General features: G+C 46.7%; 1 protein-coding gene and 1 long non-coding RNA gene across 13 annotated transcripts in view, besides 4 other annotated features; one reads left to right on the forward strand and one right to left on the reverse strand.

Moving 5' to 3' along the window:
- Positions 1-14,948, reverse strand: part of CTDP1-DT (CTDP1 divergent transcript) — a 40,818-nt gene extending 25,870 nt beyond the window's left edge. Inside the window, exon 1 of the long non-coding RNA NR_136643.1 lies at positions 14,597-14,948. This is a non-coding gene — a long non-coding RNA (CTDP1 divergent transcript). The remainder of the gene's footprint in view (positions 1-14,596) is intronic.
- CTDP1 (CTD phosphatase subunit 1) overlaps positions 11,971-20,607 on the forward strand; it is a 79,858-nt gene continuing 71,221 nt past the window's right edge. For 4 of the 12 annotated variants that reach the window (NM_001318511.2, NM_048368.4, XM_011526261.2 and 1 more), the window contains exon 1: positions 15,006-15,464. In NM_001318511.2, coding sequence (NP_001305440.1) covers positions 15,151-15,464 — 314 coding nt within the window. In that variant the 5' untranslated portion in view covers positions 15,006-15,150. Of the gene's footprint in view, positions 14,434-14,600; positions 14,859-15,005; positions 15,465-15,599; positions 16,721-16,940; positions 17,019-17,240; positions 17,433-20,607 lie in introns of those variants that run through there. The other 8 variants (XM_047437921.1, XM_047437927.1, XM_047437923.1 and 5 more) reach the window with 7 other exon arrangements.
- Positions 14,131-14,638: an enhancer, noted in NCBI's record as "H3K27ac hESC enhancer chr18:77438928-77439435 (GRCh37/hg19 assembly coordinates)". NCBI's record gives its function as "activates a minimal SCP1, AML or CMV promoter by ChIP-STARR-seq in naive H9 embryonic stem cells {active_cell/tissue: H9 hESC(naive)}" and the evidence as "EXISTENCE:reporter gene assay evidence [ECO:0000049][PMID:30033119]".
- Positions 14,639-15,147: an enhancer, noted in NCBI's record as "H3K27ac hESC enhancer chr18:77439436-77439944 (GRCh37/hg19 assembly coordinates)". NCBI's record gives its function as "activates a minimal SCP1, AML or CMV promoter by ChIP-STARR-seq in naive H9 embryonic stem cells {active_cell/tissue: H9 hESC(naive)}" and the evidence as "EXISTENCE:reporter gene assay evidence [ECO:0000049][PMID:30033119]".
- Positions 16,763-17,271: an enhancer, noted in NCBI's record as "H3K4me1 hESC enhancer chr18:77441560-77442068 (GRCh37/hg19 assembly coordinates)". NCBI's record gives its function as "activates a minimal SCP1, AML or CMV promoter by ChIP-STARR-seq in primed H9 embryonic stem cells {active_cell/tissue: H9 hESC(primed)}" and the evidence as "EXISTENCE:reporter gene assay evidence [ECO:0000049][PMID:30033119]".
- Positions 17,272-17,778: an enhancer, noted in NCBI's record as "H3K4me1 hESC enhancer chr18:77442069-77442575 (GRCh37/hg19 assembly coordinates)". NCBI's record gives its function as "activates a minimal SCP1, AML or CMV promoter by ChIP-STARR-seq in naive H9 embryonic stem cells {active_cell/tissue: H9 hESC(naive)}" and the evidence as "EXISTENCE:reporter gene assay evidence [ECO:0000049][PMID:30033119]".

Consider the following 20,607-nt stretch of genomic DNA (forward strand, 5'->3'; position numbering starts at 1 on the left):
CTGGCCTGGCCGGCTTTTCCTGATGTGTCTGGATTATTCTGTGTAACCAAGAAAATTCCTGTGCTGTTACTAAGAGTCATGTAATTCCCTGCTCCAGGCACTCCTTTGCTTGTTTACAGTCCTCTATGATAAAGTGAACACTCATAACCCTGGACGCACTCTTCCTGTGTCTAATTAAATTCAAGTACCCTTTTCTTCAGGTTTGACTTCTGGGTTATCTAAGGAGAAGCAATCATACAGCAGGAGGTTCTTCTTTACTTTTTGTAACTAGCCTAAACACAAGACATTTTTACATTTTATCAAGTTAGATTTGTTTTTTTATTAAGTTTTTGATTACTCAAGCGGAAAACTGAGCTTTAAATGGGTTAAGGCTTTTACATTCATGTAACTTTCCGTATTTGCTTTTGAAGTATTTTAACTATCACTCTGCTTAAATGAATGATTAATATTTTACATGACTTGTAATTTTTTTTTTTTTTTGAGACAGGAGTCTCACTCTGTTGCCCAGGCTGGAGTGCAGTGGTGCAATCTCAGCTCACTGCAACTGCCACCTTCCAGATTTAAGCGATTCTCCTGCCTCAATCTCCCTAGTAGCTAGGATTACAGGCACCTGCCACAACGCCTGGCTAATTTCTGTGTTTTTAGTGGAGACAGGGTTTCACCATGTTGGCCAAGCTGGTCTTGAACTCCTGACCTCAAGTGATCCACCTGCCTCAACCTCCCAAAGTGCTGGAATTACAGGCACGAGCCACCACGCCTGGCCCTGTGATTCTGTTTTGATCAAGTGTTTTATACTTTTTGATATATTTTGTAGGCTTCCCAAATATCAGAATACCAAATTAAGTCTTTTTGACCTAGAACTAACTTTTGGATTTTCTATTTGTGCTCCTGAAGAGACTCAAAACATGTATCTCTCGTCTTGTTGAGACATTAAATAATCAGGCTTATTTGGTAAATTGTAGGGAAGCATTGTCAAATTATAAGTGATACTAGATCTTCTTTCAGATACATTTATCGGTATGTTGTTGATATGTTTCAAAAATTATGTAAACTCATAGAAATCTAATATGTTATCTGTCATAATTTTCGTTGTTATATTACATTTTTTCTGAAGCTATATTTGTATGACTATGTTATTAATGCATTCTAAAGATGATGTGAAATTTATAAGTTTCATGGTCCTGGTATCAGTCCAGCTGTCAGTCATGATTCCGGTTGTTATCTTAAAATGCCATATGTTGGCCGGGCACAGTGGCTCACGCCTGTAATCACAGCACTTTGGGAGGCTGAGGCGGGTGGATCACGAGGTCAGGAGATTGAGACCATCCTGGCTAACATGTTGAAAACCCCATCTCTACTAAAAACACAAAAAAACTAGCCGGGCATGGTGGCGGGTGCCTGTAGTCCCAGCTACTCGGGAGGCTGAGGCAGGAGAATGGCGTGAACCCAGGAGGTGGAGCTTGCAGTGAGCCAAGATCGTGCCACTGCACTCCAGCCTGGATGACAGAGGGAAACTCTGCCAAAAAAAAGAAAAAAAAAGCCATATGTTGTATGTAAGTAACTAAATTTCCTTGATAATTAGGAATTTTCATCAGATTTTTAACCACGGCCATTCTAAGCATTTGGGCTTCTCTCGTTATTATTTTCGATTATTCCCTAAAAGTATTTGCAATCAACTACAGTCCCAAATTGCCTTTCATAAAAAGACTTGCAAGAACTCTTGGACACAGATTTCTGATAACTTTAAGATCATGAACGGAAAAAGAATTTCCAGAACTCTGATGAAGAAACTGACGGGTCCATGACACTGCTAACCAAGATCAAGCAAAACAAAATACTAATTATATGAAATTTAAAAATTAACACGTTTTAATGACTTTTATTTGAAACATTGTAAGTTCTTTACCTACATGTTTTATTTTCCAGATTTAAGAAAATTGTCTCTCAAAAGCTGTCTATAGTTTACAACAATTTGGTATAGTTTAGTGAACAAAGGTGGAGGCATTTGATTTTACTGTTTACTTGATTGTTCCAAAATTTGGAAACTATTCATGTATAGTCCTAGTTTTAAGTACAATATAATTATTTATATAAGTTCAACAAAAATCTATTCTCTCTTTACAGCAGGATACAATTGGAAACATTGATTATAGTACAGAGGTTTTGACTGAATATCATATTTGAAGGTATCCATAGAAAGCCTGGTTTTAAGACTTTCCAGCCTTACAATCAGTAAATAAAAATTGTAATTTCCTGGCAGGCCCAGGAACATTCAGGTTGTAAGTACAATCGAAGATCTGCCCAGGTTTGGCTTTCTAGCCTCAAAAGGTTTTTAAATCTGATAACCTACGTCATCAGTGTAGGGAGAAAAAGTTATGTTTCTAAAGAAAAACTATCATACCCTTGTTATTAGACTGTAGCTCTGAGCCTTGTTTTCGAGTTCTTGTTATCTACCTGTAGAATGGGCTAGATCCTGAATTCTCCTAATTTTCTTCATTGTTTGGTTATAATTCTCCAACTAAAAACTAAAACTGCTTCTCTTCTAAAGCCCTGTAAGATGAACCTAAACACATTTTAAGAAACAAGCCTCATGCCTGATGTATGGTCCACACATAAGGTTCACCAAACTGCTTGATGCCACAACCAGAGATATTCAAGCTGCAAACTGGGAGGAAAAGTTGATGTTTTCATGTTGTAAACAGTTTTCCCTGGACATTGGAACAAGACTCCATATCATAAGGAGACTCTAACTCAACTCCTCTTAATGTCTATCCTTTTCACTTGACAGGATAATAATGAAATTGAAATTTCACAATCAGTAGCTTCTGCTGGTAACTTAACAGAACGTAACCTTTAAAAATCTTTTAGTAACACCCGTAATCCCAGCACTTTGGGAGGCCGAGGCGGGTGGATCACCTGAGGTAAGGAGTTCGAGACCAGCCTGGTCAACATGGTGAAACCCCGTCTCTACTAAAAAATACCAAAAATTAGCTGGGTGCAGTGGTGGATGCCTGTAATCCCAGCTACTCAGGAGGCTGAGACAGGAAAATCGCTTGAACCCGGGAGGCGGAGGTTGCAGTGAGCTGAGATCACACCACTGCACTCCAGCCTGGGTGACAAGAGTGAAACTCCGTCTCAAAAAAAAAAAAAAAAAATCCTTTAGTATTCATTGGTTAAATAAGAAAATGCCTGTGCATTTCTTATTGTGGTACCTGGATAAATTCCTCTGGGAAAGTTGAGACCCATATACACAAAAGAAGAAAACAGGCCACATCATTCAAGTCTTACCTAATTCCCTATGGTCATTGATTCATTCGTCTTTAAGCCTACCAAGTTCATGGATGCAAACTGGGATTGTCACATTACTATTAATTTTACTTTTTATTTCCCCTTTTTAAACTTTGTATCTGTTACTTGTCATTTTTTTTCCATCTAGGATACATAGGAATAAAGATAATTTTTTTGAGATAGGATATTGCTATGTTGTCCAGGCTGGCCTTGAACTCCTGGACTCAAACAGTCTTCCCACCTCAGGCTCCTGAGTAGCTGGGACTATAGGCATGAGCCACCATGCCTGGTTACTTGTTAACTGATCTGCAGAAGTACAACTCCTAATAACATAATGCTGGCCCAGCACTTTCAGATGATAGCAAAAGATCATGGAAAAGACAAAACTGCACTTAACAATGCACTCCAGGTAGACTTATCCAGGGAGCCACTCCCTTCAAACCTCCCTTGCTGCTCAGATGTGGCTAAAAGGGTTTTGACACTGGATCCTAGTCACCAATCATTCCCCTCAAAGTGGGGTGAGACCACCAACGATGACAGGTCCATCCCAGCACGGAGAGGCATCAAAACGCAACCACAGGTTGATTGATCAGTGAGGCTTTTAAAGAAAGATCTTGATCAGAAGAGGAAATGTGAAAATTGTCAGAGTCAAAAAAGGGTCACTAGTGTTAAAGAAAAAAAAGTCAGAAAAGATTCACTAGTTTAAAGAAAAACAAACAAGCAAACAAACAAAAACTCCTGACAAATAGAGTCAGGGAAGGCCTTGAAGAGAGGGTTCTCATGCTTGTATATTGATAACAAAAATGATGACAAAACCCAAAACCTTGCACCAAGGCTATCACAACCTTACACAAAAGGTGCTTTGGCAAGAACACCTGCCCAGCAATTGCCTGTCCAGCCCCAGACTGGATCGTCCTTGTTACCGATCTCTGTACTGAGGACAATTATCTCAGAATAATTATGTGATTCCTTCCCTGTCTGAATATGCAGCGTTTACTGTGGAACGCATATTCCCATTGCAGTGCTCTATCTTTAGGTTGACAGAAGCATTAGGTTTTCTCATCTGTGCCTCATCTAGTGAGCTTTGAGGTTCAACAAACATTTTTGCATCATGATACTGTGCTCTCACAGTAGGCATCAACTTATGGGAGGGTCACCCAAAACTTCTTCAGTGAGAAATGTGGTTTACATTTTGTATCAGTTTTGTAGAGATATAGTTTACAAATCATCAAATTTAAAGCATGCAATTCAATTGTTTTAATACATGTCCTGGGTTATGGAATCGTCACCGTAATCCAGTCTCAGAATATTTTAATCTCCCCCCAAAGAAACCCCGTACCCTTAGCAGTCACCCCTCGTTTCCCATGCACCTGCTAACTCCCTCAGCCCTGAGCAAGTGCTGGTCTATATTTTGTCCCTATAGACCTGCCTCTTCTGGACACTTCATATAAATATAATCGTACAGTATGTGGTCTTTTGTGCCTGGCTTATTTCACTTAGCATGATGTTTGCAAGGTTCATCCATGTTGTACCATGTATCCGAACTTCATTTTTTATGGCCAAATAATATTCCATTTCATGGACATACCAATTTTGTTTATCCATTAATCATTTGCTGAACGTTTAGGTCATTTCCACCTTTTAGCTATTGCGAAAAGTGCCGCTATGAATATTTAGGTACAAGTTTTCATATGGACATATATTTTCAATTCTCCTGGGCATACACTTAGGAATTCTGGGTCATAAGACAACTTGATGTTTAACATTTTGAGGCCAAATGTTGTCCAAGGTTGCTGCACCATTTTACATTCCTGCTGGCAACTTATGAGGGTCCCAATTTCTCCACAGAATCACCTGTTATTTTTATTTTAATACACTTTATTTTTTGGAGTATTTTTAGGTTTAGGGAAAAAATGCACAGAGAGTACAAAGAATTCCCACATACTCTTCCATCCCCTCACCCCCAGTTTCTGCAATTGTTAACATCTTGCATTAGTGTGGTCCATTTGTTACAGGATGACCCAATATAATCACATTACTATTTTTATCGTTTTTATTATTATAGCCATCTGTCTTAGTCCATTTTGCTTTGCTATAACAGAATATCAGAGACTGGGGAATTTATAAATAAAAGAAATGTATTTGACCCAGGATTCTGGAGGTGGAAAAATCCAAGATCCAGGGGCCACAACTGCTGAGGGTCCAACAGTGTGTGTGAGAACAAGAGCAAGAGGCTGAGGGTCCAACAGTGTGTGTGAAAACAAGAGCAAGAGGCTGAGGGTCCAACAGTGTGTGTGAAAACAAGAGCAAGAGAAGGCCAAGCTCCCTTTCATCAGGAACTCAAGTCCGTAATCACGAACCCACTCCTTTGATAACAGCATCAGCCATTCACGAAGGCAGGGCTGTCACAGCCTAATCACCTCTTATAGGCCACACCTCTCAACACAGTTGTACTGGGGATCAGGTTTCCAACACATGAACTTTGTGGGACACACTCAAGCCATAGCACCATCCTGACAGGTATGAGGTGGTTTCTCATTGTGGTTTTGATTTGCAGATCCCTGACTGATATGGTTTGGCTGTGTCCCCACCCAAATCTCACCTTGAATTGTAGCTCCCATAATTCCCACGTCATGGGAGGGACCCGGTGGGAGGTAACTGAATCATGGGGGTGGGAATTCCGTGTGCTGTTCTCAGGATAGTGAATAAGTCTCACAAGATCTGATGGTTTGATAAAGGGCAGTTCCCCTGCATACGTTCTCTTGCCCGCCGCCATGTAAGTCGTGACTTTGCTCCTCCTTTGCCTTCTGCCATGATTGTGAGGCCTCCCCAGCCCTGTGGAACTGAGTCAATTAAACCTCTTTCCTTTATAAATTACGCAGTCTCAGGTATGTATTCATTAGCAGCATGAGAACAGACTAATACATTGACCTTTAAAGACACTGAACATCTTGTCATGTGTTCACTGGTCATTTACATATTGTCAGCACCATTTGTTGAAAACACTTTTCTTTTGCCCAATAAGATGTCTTCACATCCTTGAAAATCAGTTGACCATAAATATGAGGGTTTACTTCTGGACTCTAAATTCTATTTAGACTGGAATTCTATTCCACTGATCTACATTTCTATCCTGATGTCAGTACCACATTGTCTTGATTACTGCAGCTTTGTAGGGAATTCTGAGTACTCTAAATAATTTTTCAAGATTCTTTCTGCTATCCTGGGTCCCTTTCATTTTTATGAATTTTAGGATCAGCTTGTCAACTTCTGCATAAAAGTCAGCTGGGATTTTGAAAAGGATTGTATTGACTCTATAGATCGATTTGGGAAATATTTCCTTCTTAACAATATTAAGTCTTCTGATCCATAAACATGAGATATCTTTCAATCTATTTAAATCTTCTTTATTTTCTTTCAACAATGCTTTGCAGTTTTCAGTGTTCACATCTTGAACTTCTTAAGTCTATTCCTGAGTATTTTATTCTTTTTGGTGCTATTATAAACGGAATTGTTTGCTTATTTTGGCTTTCTCATTGCTGGTATATAGAAACACAATTTATATCCTGCAACATTGCTAAACATGGTTTTTCTAAGGTTTTTAAAATGAATTCCAGCCGGGCGCGGTGGCTCATGCCTGTAATCCCAGCACTTTGGGAGGCCAAGGTGGGCAGATCACCTGAGGTCAGGAGTTGCAGACCAGCCTGGCCAACATGGTGAAACCCTGTCTCTACCAAAAATACAAAAATTAGCCAGGTGTGGTGGCGGGTGCCTGTAATCCCAGCTACTCGGGAGGCTGAGGCAGGAGAATTGCTTGAACCCAGGAGGTAGAGGTTACAGTGAGCTGAGAACGCGCCACTGCACTCCAGCCTGGGTAACAAGAGCAAAACTCGTCTCAAAAAAAAAAGATTCCATAGGTTGTTTGTTTGTTTGTTTTGTAGAGATGGGGTCTCACTGTGTTGCCCTGGCTGGCCTTGAACTCCTGGGCTCAAGCAGTCCTCTCACCTTGGCCTCCCAAAGCACTGGGATCATAGGTGTGAGCCATTGTGCCCTGCCATAGGCTTTTTTTACATAAAAGATTAAGCCATCTTCAACAATCTCTAGAGATTGTTTTATACCTTTCTTTTGAATTGGATGCTTTTTTTCTTGACTAACTGCCCTGGCTAGAGCCTTCTGTACACAATTACCTAGAAGGGGCAAGCCGCTCTTGTTTTATTCCTGATTTTAGGCGAAGGCCTCCCATCTTCAAGCATTGAGTCTGATGTCAGCTACAGGTTTTTTGTAGAGGCTGTTTATCAAGCTAAAGAAATTTCCTTCCATTCCTCGTATGTTGAGACTGAAATTCAGCAGACAGCTGGCACACTGACTGAAGTTCAAAGCTCGGAACCTGAACGTGAGCCTGAGTGAGGCAGCTCCCTGAGGGGGCAGAACTGTTGCCTTATGTGACAGCTAGTGGGTATGGAGGAATGAAAGGAGCCTCCACTCCTTGCTGCCCTGATCTGGCTCCTGACATTTTCCTTCAAATGGCATCAGGACCAGGGGCCAGCTGGGCTCTGTGAAACGCAGGAAGCAGGGAGCTGCGTCCACCCGCCAGCCTGCCCTCACCTCCCTAGAGCCTTGCCTTCTCTGTACTGCACACTTAGGCACGGTGAGCCCAGCCCAAGGCATCATTCTCACCTGCCCCTGAAGTCAGACCAGTCTAGCGGCCTCCGTCCCCTTCCTGCCAGTCCTCTTGTAAGGAGGGCAAAAATAAAACACCAAACAAAACATCAACTATATTCTGTATTTCCTACATTATTCAGATAAATTGTATTTATCGAAAAAGCTGTCCCGTTTCGTTTTGACGGCCCTGGAGTACGGCCCCTTCATCAGCTGAGATCACAAAGACGTCTAGCGGAGGTAACGGGAGCAGGGTCTGCAGTCAGCCACCTGGCTTCCAGATGCCAGTCCTGCCCGCTCCTGGCTGTGCAGCTGAGCACCCAAACCTCCGCAGGCCTCGCTTTCCTCTCTTATCTGTAAGCTGGAAACCGTAGCTACCTCAGTGAGTCATGGTGCAGATGAAATGAGACCAGGCTCTGCAATGCACTTGGTACAGCAGCTGGCAAAGTGTCATCTGCCCCCGACAATAAGCACCATCCTTGCCTCTGCAGAGATGCTTAGCAAGGTAAGTGGGTTCTCAGTGTTAAGATTCACAGTGTAACCAACATCTAAAGCTGTTCATGATTTTGGCCTGAATGGGAAGTTAGGAAGAACTCACAAAGAAATCACAAAGGAAAGTAAAAAAAGGAAAAAAGAAAGTCATCAAGGGGAGTAAAAACTGGTTAACATTTCATTTTCTTTTCTTTTTTGGCCTAGAGATTATTAACTTTTAGAAACAGGTGTCACAGGCAATGGTCTTTAAAGAGCATCTAAATAGACCTGGAATTTGCTTTTTTAAATGTACTTAATTCCCATTACCTCTGTGCTTCTCAAGCAATTCTGGTTCACATTATGAAATGAGTACATTCTCAGATTATTTAGTTCAGAAATCGGAATATTTATTCTATTATGCCACAAATTAAGCAGAACTCTGCAAAGTGATCTCTAAAAATAAGTCTGAAAAATAATCATCTAATTCCAGTAGAGGCCTCTTACACTTTTTAAATGTTAACTCCAGGCCGGGTGTGGTGGCTCACGCCTGTTATCCCAGCACTTTGGGAGGCCAAGATGCGTGGATCACTTGAACCCAGGAGTTTGAGACCAGCCTGGCCAACATGGTGAAATCCCATCTCTACTGAAAATACAAAAATTAGCCGGGCATGGTGGTGGGTGCCCGTAGTCCCATCTATTCAGGAGGCTGAGGCAGGAGAACTGCTTGAACCCGAGAGATGGGGGTTGCAGTGAGCCGAGATTGCACCACCGCACTCCACCCTGGGCAACAGAGCAAGATTCCATCTCAATAAAAAATAATAATACATTTTAATTGTGGTTAAAAAATACATAAAATTTACCATATTAACTGTTTTTAAGTGTACACTTTAGTAGCATTGTTTATTCATATTGGTCTGAATTTTTTTTATCTTGCAAAACTAAAACTCTGTACCCATCAAACAACTGCCCACCCTGCCCCCAGCCCTGGTAACTACCATTTTGTTTTCTGTTTCTATAAATTTGACTTTAGGCATCTCACAGAAGGGGAATAAGACGGTATTGCACAGCCAAGATCATGCCACTGCACTCCAGCTTGGCAACAGAGCAAGACTCTGTCTCAAAAGAAAAAAAAAAAAAGACAGTATTTGCCTTTTCGCAGCTGGCTTATTTCACTTGGCATAGTTTCTTCAAGGTTCACCCATGTTGTAGCATGGGTCAGAATTTCATTCCTTTTTTTTTTTGGAGATGGAGTCTTGCTCTGTCGCCAAGGCTGGAGTGCAGTGGCGCGATCTCGGCTCACCGCAAGCTCCGCCTCCCAGTTCACACCATTCTCCTGCCTCAGCCTCCGGAGTAGCTGGGACTACAGGTGCCCACCACCACACCCGGCTAATTCTTTGTATTTTTAGTAGAGATGGGGTTTCACCATGTTAGCCAGGATGGTCTCGATCTCCTGACCTCGTGATCCACCCACCTCGGCCTCCCAAAGTGCTGGGATTACAGGCATGAGACACTGTGCCTGGCCTTCATTCCTTTTTAAGGCTTAATAATATCCCATCTCACAGGCCACCTGGCTTGTCCATTCATCTGTTGATTGACGCTATGTTGTTTCTGCCTCTTGGCTACTGTGAACAGTGCAGCTGTGAACATGGTGTGCAAGTGGCTCTTTAGACTTTGCTTTCAATTCTTTGGGTAAATACGTACAGGTGGGATTCCTGGATCACATGCTAACTCTGAGGAAAACCTCCATGCTGTTTTCATCACAGCCATCCTAACTCCATGCTGTTTTTCATCATAGCCATCCTCATGAGTATGGAGTGATCATCTCATTGTGACTGTGGTTCGCATTTCTCTAATGGTCAGTGATTTTGAGCATCTTTTCATGTGCCTACTGGTCATCTGTAAATACGACTGTCCCTTGGTATCTGTGGGGGACTGGTTCCAGAACCTCCCACGGACCAAAATCTAAGGATGTTGGGAGTATTTGCCTGTAACCTATGCACACCCTCCTGCATCCTTTAAATCGTCACTAGATTACTTATAATAGCTAATGCAAAGTAAATGCTATGTAAATAGTTGTTACACTATATTGTTTAGAGAACAATGAGAAGGAAAGTCTGTACATGTTCAGCATGGGCACATTTTTTTAATAAAAATATTTTCAATCCCTGGCTGGTTACATCCAGGGATGCAAAACCCATCGATAGAGTGCTGACTGTATATCCTCTTCAGAGAAGTGTCTGTTGAAGTCCCTTGCTCATTTTTAAATGAGGTGACTTGTTTTACTGTTGAGTGGTGGTTGTCTATATATTCCAGATATTAACCCCTTATCAGATATATGATTTGCAGATATTTTCTCACATTCCACAGGTTACCTTTTCCCTGCACAGAAGGGAAAGGTTGATTGTGTCCTTCGATGCACAGAAGTTTCTAAGCCTGATGTCGTCTTAGTTTTACTTTTGTTGCCCGTGTCTTTGGTGTCATATCCAATAAATCACTGCTAAATCCAATGTCATAAATTTTTCCCGTTTTCTTCTAGAAATTGTATACCTTTATTTCTTGTTTAGTCTTTAATCCACTGAGTTTTCACATAAGGTGTCAGATAAGGGTCTTGGGGGCCACATGTTGGCCTGTGCAACAGTTAAAGGGCCCCAAGCATAGTCACATACGTGCAGATGATGTTCACACACAGATACCCAGGCCCAGGAGATCTTGGACTCCCCAAGGCCATATTCTATTCCTACAACTGCTGTCCTTCCCCTTAACCTCCTTTTGTTCTGGCCTTGCTAGCACAGACCCTTGCATGCTAATCAAATGACACAGTTGAGTTTGGAGGAAACATACATCAGTGAGGAAAAGTGACCACAGAATCCTTCCAGGTTTCACCAAAACCACCCGTGACGTAGATAAAACTAGAATTCTGGGGACTGGGATTCCTCCTTTTCCCCTGAGCCACTACGTAAAGGTGACTGCATTACAGTCCCATACCTCTTATCTGTGGCCCCAGTATCCATTTTTTTTAAGACAGGGTCTCGCTCTGTTGCTCAGACTGGAGGACAGTGGTGCAATCACAGCTCACTGCAGCCTTGACCTCCTAGGCTCAATGGATCCTCCCACCTCAGCCTCCTGAGTAGCTGGGACTCCAGACAGGTGCACACCACCACACTCAGCTAATTTTTTGTAGAAATGAGGTCTCACTATGTTGCCCAGGTTGGTCTTGAACTCCCGGGCTCAAGTGATCCACCTGTCTCAGCCTCTCAAAGTGCTGGGATTACAGGCATGAGTCACAGTGCCTGGCCCAAATTCATAGTCCTAAACATGGAAAGTTTTGTGTACTTCATTTGGCGGAAAGTCTAACCTGATTTGGCACGAGACGACCCATGATCCTTTTCGTCCTGCTTGTATTTTGCTGCAGGAATATCAGTTTGATGAGGGTGTTGCCCCAGGCCCCAAGTGGAATATGCACACGTCACTTTCCTAAAATCAGAACAATTCAGAGTTCTGAAACACACGAAACACAGCTGTTTCTAAGATTCTTGACTAAGAGGTTGTGGCTTATGCTATTTTTCCTGACTGTGGCCTCACTTTCTTCCCAATAAATGTTTCAATCTGTTGATACTAATGTTTTTTCTCATGATACTTGTAAGATAACTGATTTTAACAAAAGGTGGCACACCTATTAAAGACATGGTTAAGTTTCATTGGCTGTATAGCATCTCTAATTGGAAGACTACATGGCATCTATCCAGGTTGGAGTTGTAATCACCTAGGGATGTCTACATCTGTCTACCTAGATCAGTCTGTCAGTTCCATCGAGGTCTGTATTTCAAAGTCCATACATAACACACGGTTCTTCCCATTTTACAGAATTATTTTTTCAAACCAAAGTTCACATACTGCTGGTGGGAACAGGTTCAAATAGGGAATGCTGATACATATCAACAACCTTTGAGACAAACCTGTTCACACAGTGAGTGTGGAGCCCTTGGCCCCCCTACTTTCTCTCTCGCAGGCCCCGACATCACCCTGGGCTTGCGCTGTTGGTAGTGTTCAAAGGAAAACTTTAGAAACATTAAATTTTACAGAGTTTAATTGAGCAAAGAATGATTCAGGAATCAGGGAACCCCTCAAACCAGAATAGGCTCAGAGAGACTCCAGTGCCACTGTGTGGCCAAAGACTTACGGACAGAAAAGGGAGTGAGGCACAGAAGGCAGAGGTGAGGCCTGCAAACAGCAGGGTGGCTACAGCTCGTGTCTGGCTTATTGAAACAGAGTTTGAAGTGCTGCTGCCTGTGACTGATTCAAGAGTAGGTTACAGTGTCCACACATCCAATTAGATGACTGTTCACTACGTATGGAGAAACCTATAGGCTAAACTTACAGTATGTAAGGAGGCGGCTTCAGGCTACAGCTGAGTAGTGTGTCCTTACAGTTGGAACCAGGAGTTCATGGGAATTCTTCATCATCCAGTGGTCTGTAAATGTTGCCCATGCTGAGTAGTCTGTCCTTACAGTGTGAACCAGGGGTTCATGGGAATTCTTCACCATCCAGTAGTCTGTAAATGTTGCCCATGCTGAGTAGTGTGTCCTTACAGTGTGAACCAGGGGTTCATGGGAATTCTTCACCATCCAGTGGTCTGTAAATGTTGCCCATGCTTTAGTTTTGTTACCTGGTTGCTCTGTTTTTATGGGATTGTGAGAAACTGAAAAACTGTGACTGCTGGAGCCATTTTCCCACAATCCCCATTTTTTAAAAATCCCATAAAGGCTCTCTCGTGAGCACCGCACGTTTTCCCTTGTAGTCACGAGGGTAGGGGCTGGAGAAAGCAGCAGAGATAGTCAAAAACCCACAGCTACAAAAAATGCACTCCTAAGAGCAAGTAATGGCGAGGGCTAAAAGGCACTGTGCCCCTTCTGGGCCATTCTAATTACCACATTTAAATGGTTTTGAGAAAAGAGAATTTTTATCTGAGGAACGCGAGTTCTTTTAATTATCAGGCCGAGAGAGACATTCAAATGAGGCGACAATCGCGCCCTACTACCCCTTGACCTGTGTTCACCTCTTTAAACTGCTACTGGTGGCAACAGCGCCACAAACAGCTATAAATTAACCTAATGACGCCACAATGGACACTATACCCACACTCAATAGCTGAACAACATATAGTCAGTCACTAATCAATGTTATTTCTGTAAACCAGTGAGAATTCCTCACAAACAAGTTCCTATTAGTCCACTCCCTGGCCCCCTTTTTTGCCTTTAAAATCCACTGTTAACTGCTAATCGGAGTACACATTCAGGGCGCCTTGAATTTGTGCTCAAGTGTGGCCCAAATAAACTCTCTACTTAGAGAAACTGTGTCTCCGCTCGTTTTCAGGCCGACAGTTTCCAAAATGTTAGTATTCAGCCTAACATGAGAAAAGTCACCATATAAAAGTGAGGGGGGAAAAGCAAATACAGGATAATCTCAATTGTATATAAAATTTATATACGTAAGGACAAAGATACATAGTAAAAAAAAAATTCTGGCAGGTATTAAGGCTGAAAAAATTAAAACAGTCCAGAGCGGTCTGGCTCAGGCCAGCCTGGGCCTGCCGAGTAGCTGGGACCTCAGCCACCGCGCCTGGCTAAGTATTAATGAATCTGTTTTAGAGATAGGGTCTTGCTACGTTGCGCAGGCTGGTCTCCAACTCCCAGGCTCAGGTGATCCGCCCGCCACAGCCTCCCGAAGTGCTGAGCCTCCCAAAGTGCTGAGACTACAGGCCTGGCCGCCCGCCCGCCAGCTTAATTCACGTAAATTCCAGACAAACGTAGAAAGTGGCTCCTTTAGTAAGCCACTTGCGGCTGCTGCTCATCAGGGTTCGCCTGGGGCCACTGAGACCACGCGCCGGTGCCCGCCCTCCCGCTGCGGTCCGATTTTCTGAACCAACCAGGCGCTTCCGGGCGCCTTGCCCCAGACGGGCCCACCGCCTGCGCGGGCCGAGGGCGGCGCACCTGCCCCTGCGCTTCCGCATCGAAGGTGAGGTCGGAGGAAGAGAAGACCGCAACCCCCAAGCTCCCGCGGCGTGGGGTCCGGGGGGGGACACGAGGCGGGGCCACCAGGACGCCGACAGCCTCACGTCTCTGGGCCCGCGGCGCGCAAGGCATGCCGGGACCCGTAGTCCCGCGACGTTGCGACTCACAGTGCGCGATGGGAGTGGAGGAGAGCGGCTCGCGGTGCATGCCGGAACTCGTAGTCTCGGGATGCTGGGTCTCAGCGCGTGATGGGGTAATGGCACGCAGGCCTGCGTTGAACGCTGGGACTCGTAGTCCCGCCATGCTCTGTCCGCGGTGCACGCCGGGATACGTAGTTCCGAGCGCGCCAAGACCGTCACTGGGACTGGGCGACAGCGGCCCGCGTTGCATGCCGCTGCTCCACGGTGCCGGCGCTCCGAGGAAAAGTAGGTAGGGCTCAGGAACGCAGTTCTTCACGGCCGGCACGCAGGGTTGGTCCCAGGACGGAGCCGGCTCCGGCCCCGCGCGGCGCTCGTATTTACACGCGCACGTACGCACGTACGCGGCGCCCTTGCGTGACGTCACGCGCCCTCCAGGAAGTCGGCGCGGGCTAGGCGACGGGTGGAAGCCGGTACCGAGAGGAACTACAGCGTCGCCGCCTGGGTTGTGTCGCCGCGGTAGGCGCTGCGCTCTGAGCGCAGCGCAGGCCCCGTACCGACCGCCCGCCCGCCCTCTGTCCGCGATGGAGGTGCCGGCCGCGGGTCGCGTTCCTGCCGAGGGCGCCCCGACGGCGGCTGTGGCCGAGGTGCGCTGCCCGGGGCCCGCGCCGCTGCGCCTGCTGGAGTGGAGGGTGGCGGCGGGCGCGGCCGTGCGCATCGGCTCGGTGCTGGCCGTGTTCGAGGCCGCCGCCTCCGCGCAGTCCTCCGGGGCCTCTCAGTCCCGTGTAGCCTCCGGGGGCTGCGTGCGCCCCGCGCGGCCGGAACGCAGGCTGAGGTCGGAGCGCGCGGGCGTGGTGCGGGAGCTGTGCGCGCAGCCGGGCCAGGTGGTCGCCCCAGGGTGAGTGTGCTGAGCCGGGCGGGGCCGAGGGCGGGCGGCTCCGGGGAGGGATCCTGGAGGACCCCCGGGCTGCTGCGTCCGCGGTGGGCAGGGGCGCCCCTGGTGAGGGAGCGATAAAGCGGGACGCAGGCACTGCGCTTCTCCCCTAAAACTGGATAGTCACCACCTGTGGTTTTACCAACGGGGAGCATTTTGAGATAAAAGGAAAGGGTCCTGCGTAGCGACACGAAGTTACTGTTTGGAAAAGCTATGTTTGTTTCTTTCTTTCTGCAGTGATAGTCCCCGCCCCTTCCTTTAGCTCCACCTTTGTGACTTAGGAAAACTCATGGGTGGCTGTGAGCACAAGAGTCATCAGGCAGGCTCCAGACCTGTTATTGAAATATAAACTGTTGGGTGTGTGCACATCTTTAAATTTTTGTAAACTTTGTGAAACGCAGTTGTAAAACCTGGTGCAGTTCTGTTTCGTGGCTAAGGAACGGGCGGAACCCAGGCCTGCAGCGAAGGCAGTAGCCCCGTGGTTGACCACAGTGGGCATTGTCGCAGGCTGCTTCAGGGTGACGTGGGCGTTGTGACAGACTCCACAGCTCTCAGTAGCTGTGCTCTGACCCCAGAAGGGGATATGTTTCCGTAGCACCGAAGTGTCCAGCCATGTTTGAATCTACCCTTGTGTTCTGGGATGGGCGGGCAAGTGGACACGCGTGTGCGCCTGGCTCTGGTAGTTTTGATTGTGAGAACAGAAACTCCAGGGAGAGGTGGACACTCCAGCCCGCAGTGGGCCGGGCGTGAGCTCCCTCTGGGAAAGGTGCCGCTCCTTCTGGGGATGCCACTCTCTTCCCTCCTCGGCAGCCGCGGCTCCTCGTCCCTTTGGCTTGCCCTGACCCTGTGTTTGTTGAGGATCTTCTCTGCATCTGGTTCCGCAAGAGTGAGGACTGGGACAGGAGTCTTCCCGTCACAGCCCCAGAACGTCCTGGCTCCGCTTCCTTTGGAGACAGAGCCTGGGTCCTTGACCCTCGGCACGGGCACTCACTCCTGCCCCCTGCGTGCTGGTGGGTGGGGCTGGGAGGTTCAGGGCCTTGCCTCCCAGAAAATGCCTTCACGGCTTCCTCAGTGGGCACTGGCCGTACCTGGGAGGATTGTGGAGGCAGATCCCAATGCTGGTGTATTCCCTGGACAGAAAACCCCAGGATGGAAGATCCCTACTGAGGTTTCATTCTGTTCCTCTGATTGTACAGAAAGGGCTGCTTTGGCCTAGACAGGTGAGTAACTTGGTTATGTGGCAAGTTAGTATTGAAATTCCATGTTCAGTCAGTCTAGTGAATAAAACCAACCCAGTGCATCAGTCAGTCAGCCAGCCAGGTCATGAGCTTGATGACGGGTTCCCAGCAGTCAGTAGTGTTTACAGGGAGGTGCTGTTTGAGATCTTGGGGTACCTCACAGGGCCCTTTGAGACACTGATGTGATATCATTTCTCCTCAGATGGAGCGTCTGTGTGGCACCAGGTGTCCCTCTGGTTCCAGGAGGCTCATCTCTCTGCCTCCAGTCCATGGGCGGCAGGTAAATCCTTGCCTTAGAGAAAGCCACAGACGGTGCTGCCTGGAATTTGAGGTGGCTTCTTCCCCGTTTCTGTGTACTCCTGTGGGTTTGTGTACATGGGTTTTATGAGCGTTCTGGGGAGTGTGGTGGTGGTGGTGTGACGTCAGCATTTCCGGAGGTGTTCCTGCCCGTGCAGTGGGCGTGGGTGCCATAGATCCAGGAAGGAGCGACTGGAAGGGCTTTAGTCTAAAGCCCTGTGTGCATGTGCCCTGGCAGTTCTGGTCGTCTGTTTGGAATCAGGTTCCTGCCTCGCAGTTGCATTAGCCAGCTGAATTCGGGAGGTGCATTTGCAGCAGGAGTCCATGCTGCTGACGGTCGGCTCCGTGTGGTCCAGATGACACTGCCCTGGCTCTGGGGGGCTGCCGTTGGGAGCCGGTATGTGTTGGCCTCCCCAAAATGCCTGCTGCACCTTTGTGGAACACAGTTGAAAATTACTAGATTCAGTCACTTGTTGACAGATTTTGTGAACAGGGTGGGTTACAAGTGCGTTTCTCTGGCAGCACCCCTGTGATGGGAGTAGCGCCCTGCAGTGTGGACTTGTGGTGGCTTTGCTGACGTCTCTCCATAGAGAGTTGCAGGTAGAAATCTCCGCAGCTTTTGCTTAAAGCCAACAGTGATGGATTTCTCCAGGACGTTGAGTTCCAGCTCAGCAGCTCTTTATACACAATTTACAGCTAACCCTCGAACAACTTGCTTTGGTCTGCGAGGGCCACCTTTATGTAGATGTTTTTCAGTAAATCGTCTGCTGTTCGCATCCATGGGTTCCACGCCCAACACTGTTTGCTGGGTGTGGAGCCCAGCCTGTTTATACAGAGCGCTGACTTTCTGGATCAGTGGGTTCTCCAGGTTGACTGCGGGACCTGAGTATCTGTGGATGTGGAATTTGGTATCTGAAGGAGTCCTGCAGCCCGTCCCCCGTGAGAATGAGGGACTGATTAAATATGGAAGTCTTTCCATAATAGATTGTGCCGCTTTGTGATGAAGTAGAGAATATTGGGCATAATTCCATCCTGATGTTGGAAGGTGATAGGTGTGAGTTTAGTTCTCATCCCTGCGACGCCTCTGGGACGTCGGTTGGTGAAGAGCATCTGCCTTCCTCTAGAGAGCCTGAGTCACTTTCACTTAAAAGGTTTTTCCTCTGTTTTTCTTTTTTTCTCTGATTGCTGGTGTGGTCATTTCCAGCAACAGCTCCGCGGTTCTCTTCTGCGGTGTCCCACCACTTGGAGGCTGGAAGGTGAAGACATCAGGGAAGAGGAACTGCCTTCAACCGTCATTGACTCTGCTCACCAGCCCAGGTGTTTGATTTTTACTAAGCAAGTTCCCAGAATTGCACGTGGGCTGTTTTATAATTGACTTATCTTGACCACCTCTAAAAGTTCTCTTGAAGTTACAGATTCCTGAGATCTTTATCTGGGAGAGCAAGCATTTGGTTGAAGTTTGCTTTAAATGTTTATAGACTGATTATCGTGTATTGATCCTTAGAGTACCCCTTTCAGATTATGCAAATAACACGCACTTGTATAGACAAGCATGGGCAGAATCCACAACTGCTTTTGTGGAGGCTCCAACCCTGGCTTCAGCTCATCTGCGTGTGAGGGCAGGGGAGGTGCAGAATCTGCTCCTGGGCTTGTGCTGAAAGGAGGTCCCTTTTAACAGGGACCTCCCAGCACCAATGGAACCCCGTGGCTCTTGGTGAGAGAGAGCAGGTCCTGCCCAGCTGATGGATCAGAAACTCAGGTGTCAGAAACGGGGTTTCAGGGCGGCTGCCTGAGGAATGCGCAGGCGATCTGACGTTGGAATTCTGGCTTGGGCGAAGCCCTTGATGTGGCCACACAGTTTTGGTCCCTCAAGGGCTTACTGGTTGCCTGCGTGCCCTGGTGGCTCCTTGGTGAGGGGCCTTTGGAGAAAGTCTTGGGAAATCAGATTTCCCGAGGGTGTTGTTGAGGACATTGCTGACGAGGTGTGGGATTTACGGGGAGGACAGCCTGTCTCTTGAGGCTTGGTCGCTGTGTTCACCCTGCAGGTGTTATGAATTAGCTTCTGGCCCAGGACGGTTTTGGGACCGGGGGGTGCCTACCCACTGTTGTTCCTTTATCTTGATCCTTTCACAGGGCTTATAAAAATACTTATTTTTCAGGAATAACGGGAAGTATCTTTGAAAACATAGCATTAAATCTGCTGAACTGGAGCTTGCAGAGAGCAGACAGCGGCAGCAGCCTGAGTGTGCTAAGCTCAAGCGTCGCTTGTGTGCCATCACCTTAGTGAAGGTGGCTCTTGACCCCACTGGCCGCCGGCTGCTTGACAGTAACTTGTTTAGCTGAGACTGTGTTTGAGAAACTGAGAGGTGTGGATGTTGCTTGTACATGTGCAGCCAGCATGCTCACAGTGCCGAGGAGCAGACTACGCGCTGCTCCAGAGCGTAGATTAGAACGTCAGTCTAAACAGTTCTTTATAGCATGGAATTTTAACAAAGAAAGAAGAATCCCACGTGGGTATGTGTGAGTGAGCCTTGTGTAGCTTAGTGTCGGTTACTGAGGCGGAGCACTGCGGAGAGAGGTAATGGAACCTGTGGCCCTGTGAAACCTCCCTCTATAAATAGCAGGTGTGAGTGAACCTGTGAAAAGCACCAGCACCAGCCAGGCAGGGTGGGTCCGTGCCCTCGTTGCCTGCATTGTTGTCACCAGGCAAGGTGGGTCCCTGCTCTTGTTACCTTCATTGTTGTCACCAGGCAAGGTGGGTCCGTGCCCTCGTTGCCTGCGTTGTTGTCACCAGGCAAGGTGGGTCCGTGCCCTCGTTGCCTGCATTGTTGTTACCAGCAACATTTATCCTAACCACATCAGTGGTTATTTTTAGACAAAGAACCATTCTGGGAACTTAAAAACACTGCATTTGGGTGAAGTTACAATAGTCACTAGATTGTCGTTTTGATCTTTAATAAGATTGTATGTTTTTGTCGGGCTTCATCCTATCTGGCAGAAGTAAGAACCTCCTCACTCCATTGGAAAGAAACTGAGGTTCCAAGAAGTTTGGACCTGCCCTGCCCCTTACAGGGTGTGAGGTCCTGGTGAGGAGGACGGTGCAGGGACCTCGTGGTCTCTACTCCCGGTTTCTCTGCGGTGCTCCTTACGGGGTGTGAGGTCCTGGTGAGGAGGACGGTGCAGGGACCTCGTGGTCTCTACTCCCAGTTTCTCTGCGGTGCTCCTTACGGGGTGTGAGGTCCTGGTGAGGAGGACGGTGCAGATGCCTCGTGGTGTGCTCAGGCCCTTGAGAGAGCCTCTGTCCTTGGTTCTCTGCGTGCTGCTCTCTGTAGACCAGGTTTCAGCCCTGGAGATTCCTAGTGTGGGGGGAGTAGCTAGAACAATAGTGTTTGTCTGCTTTTATAATATTTATGTGGAGTACAATTATTTTAATAGAAAATATTCTGACAGGTCACCATCTTTCAGAAACTAAGTCTTTTTTTTCCTGCAGATTTCTTTGCTTTGGCTTTTTCCCAGTCACTCACAGGGAGGTATTTAAATCGCCACAGAAAGGGGAAGGTACCTAAAATGAT

Source organism: Homo sapiens, chromosome 18 (genome assembly GCF_000001405.40).
Source record: "Homo sapiens chromosome 18, GRCh38.p14 Primary Assembly".
Taxonomy (NCBI): Eukaryota; Metazoa; Chordata; class Mammalia; order Primates; family Hominidae; genus Homo; species Homo sapiens.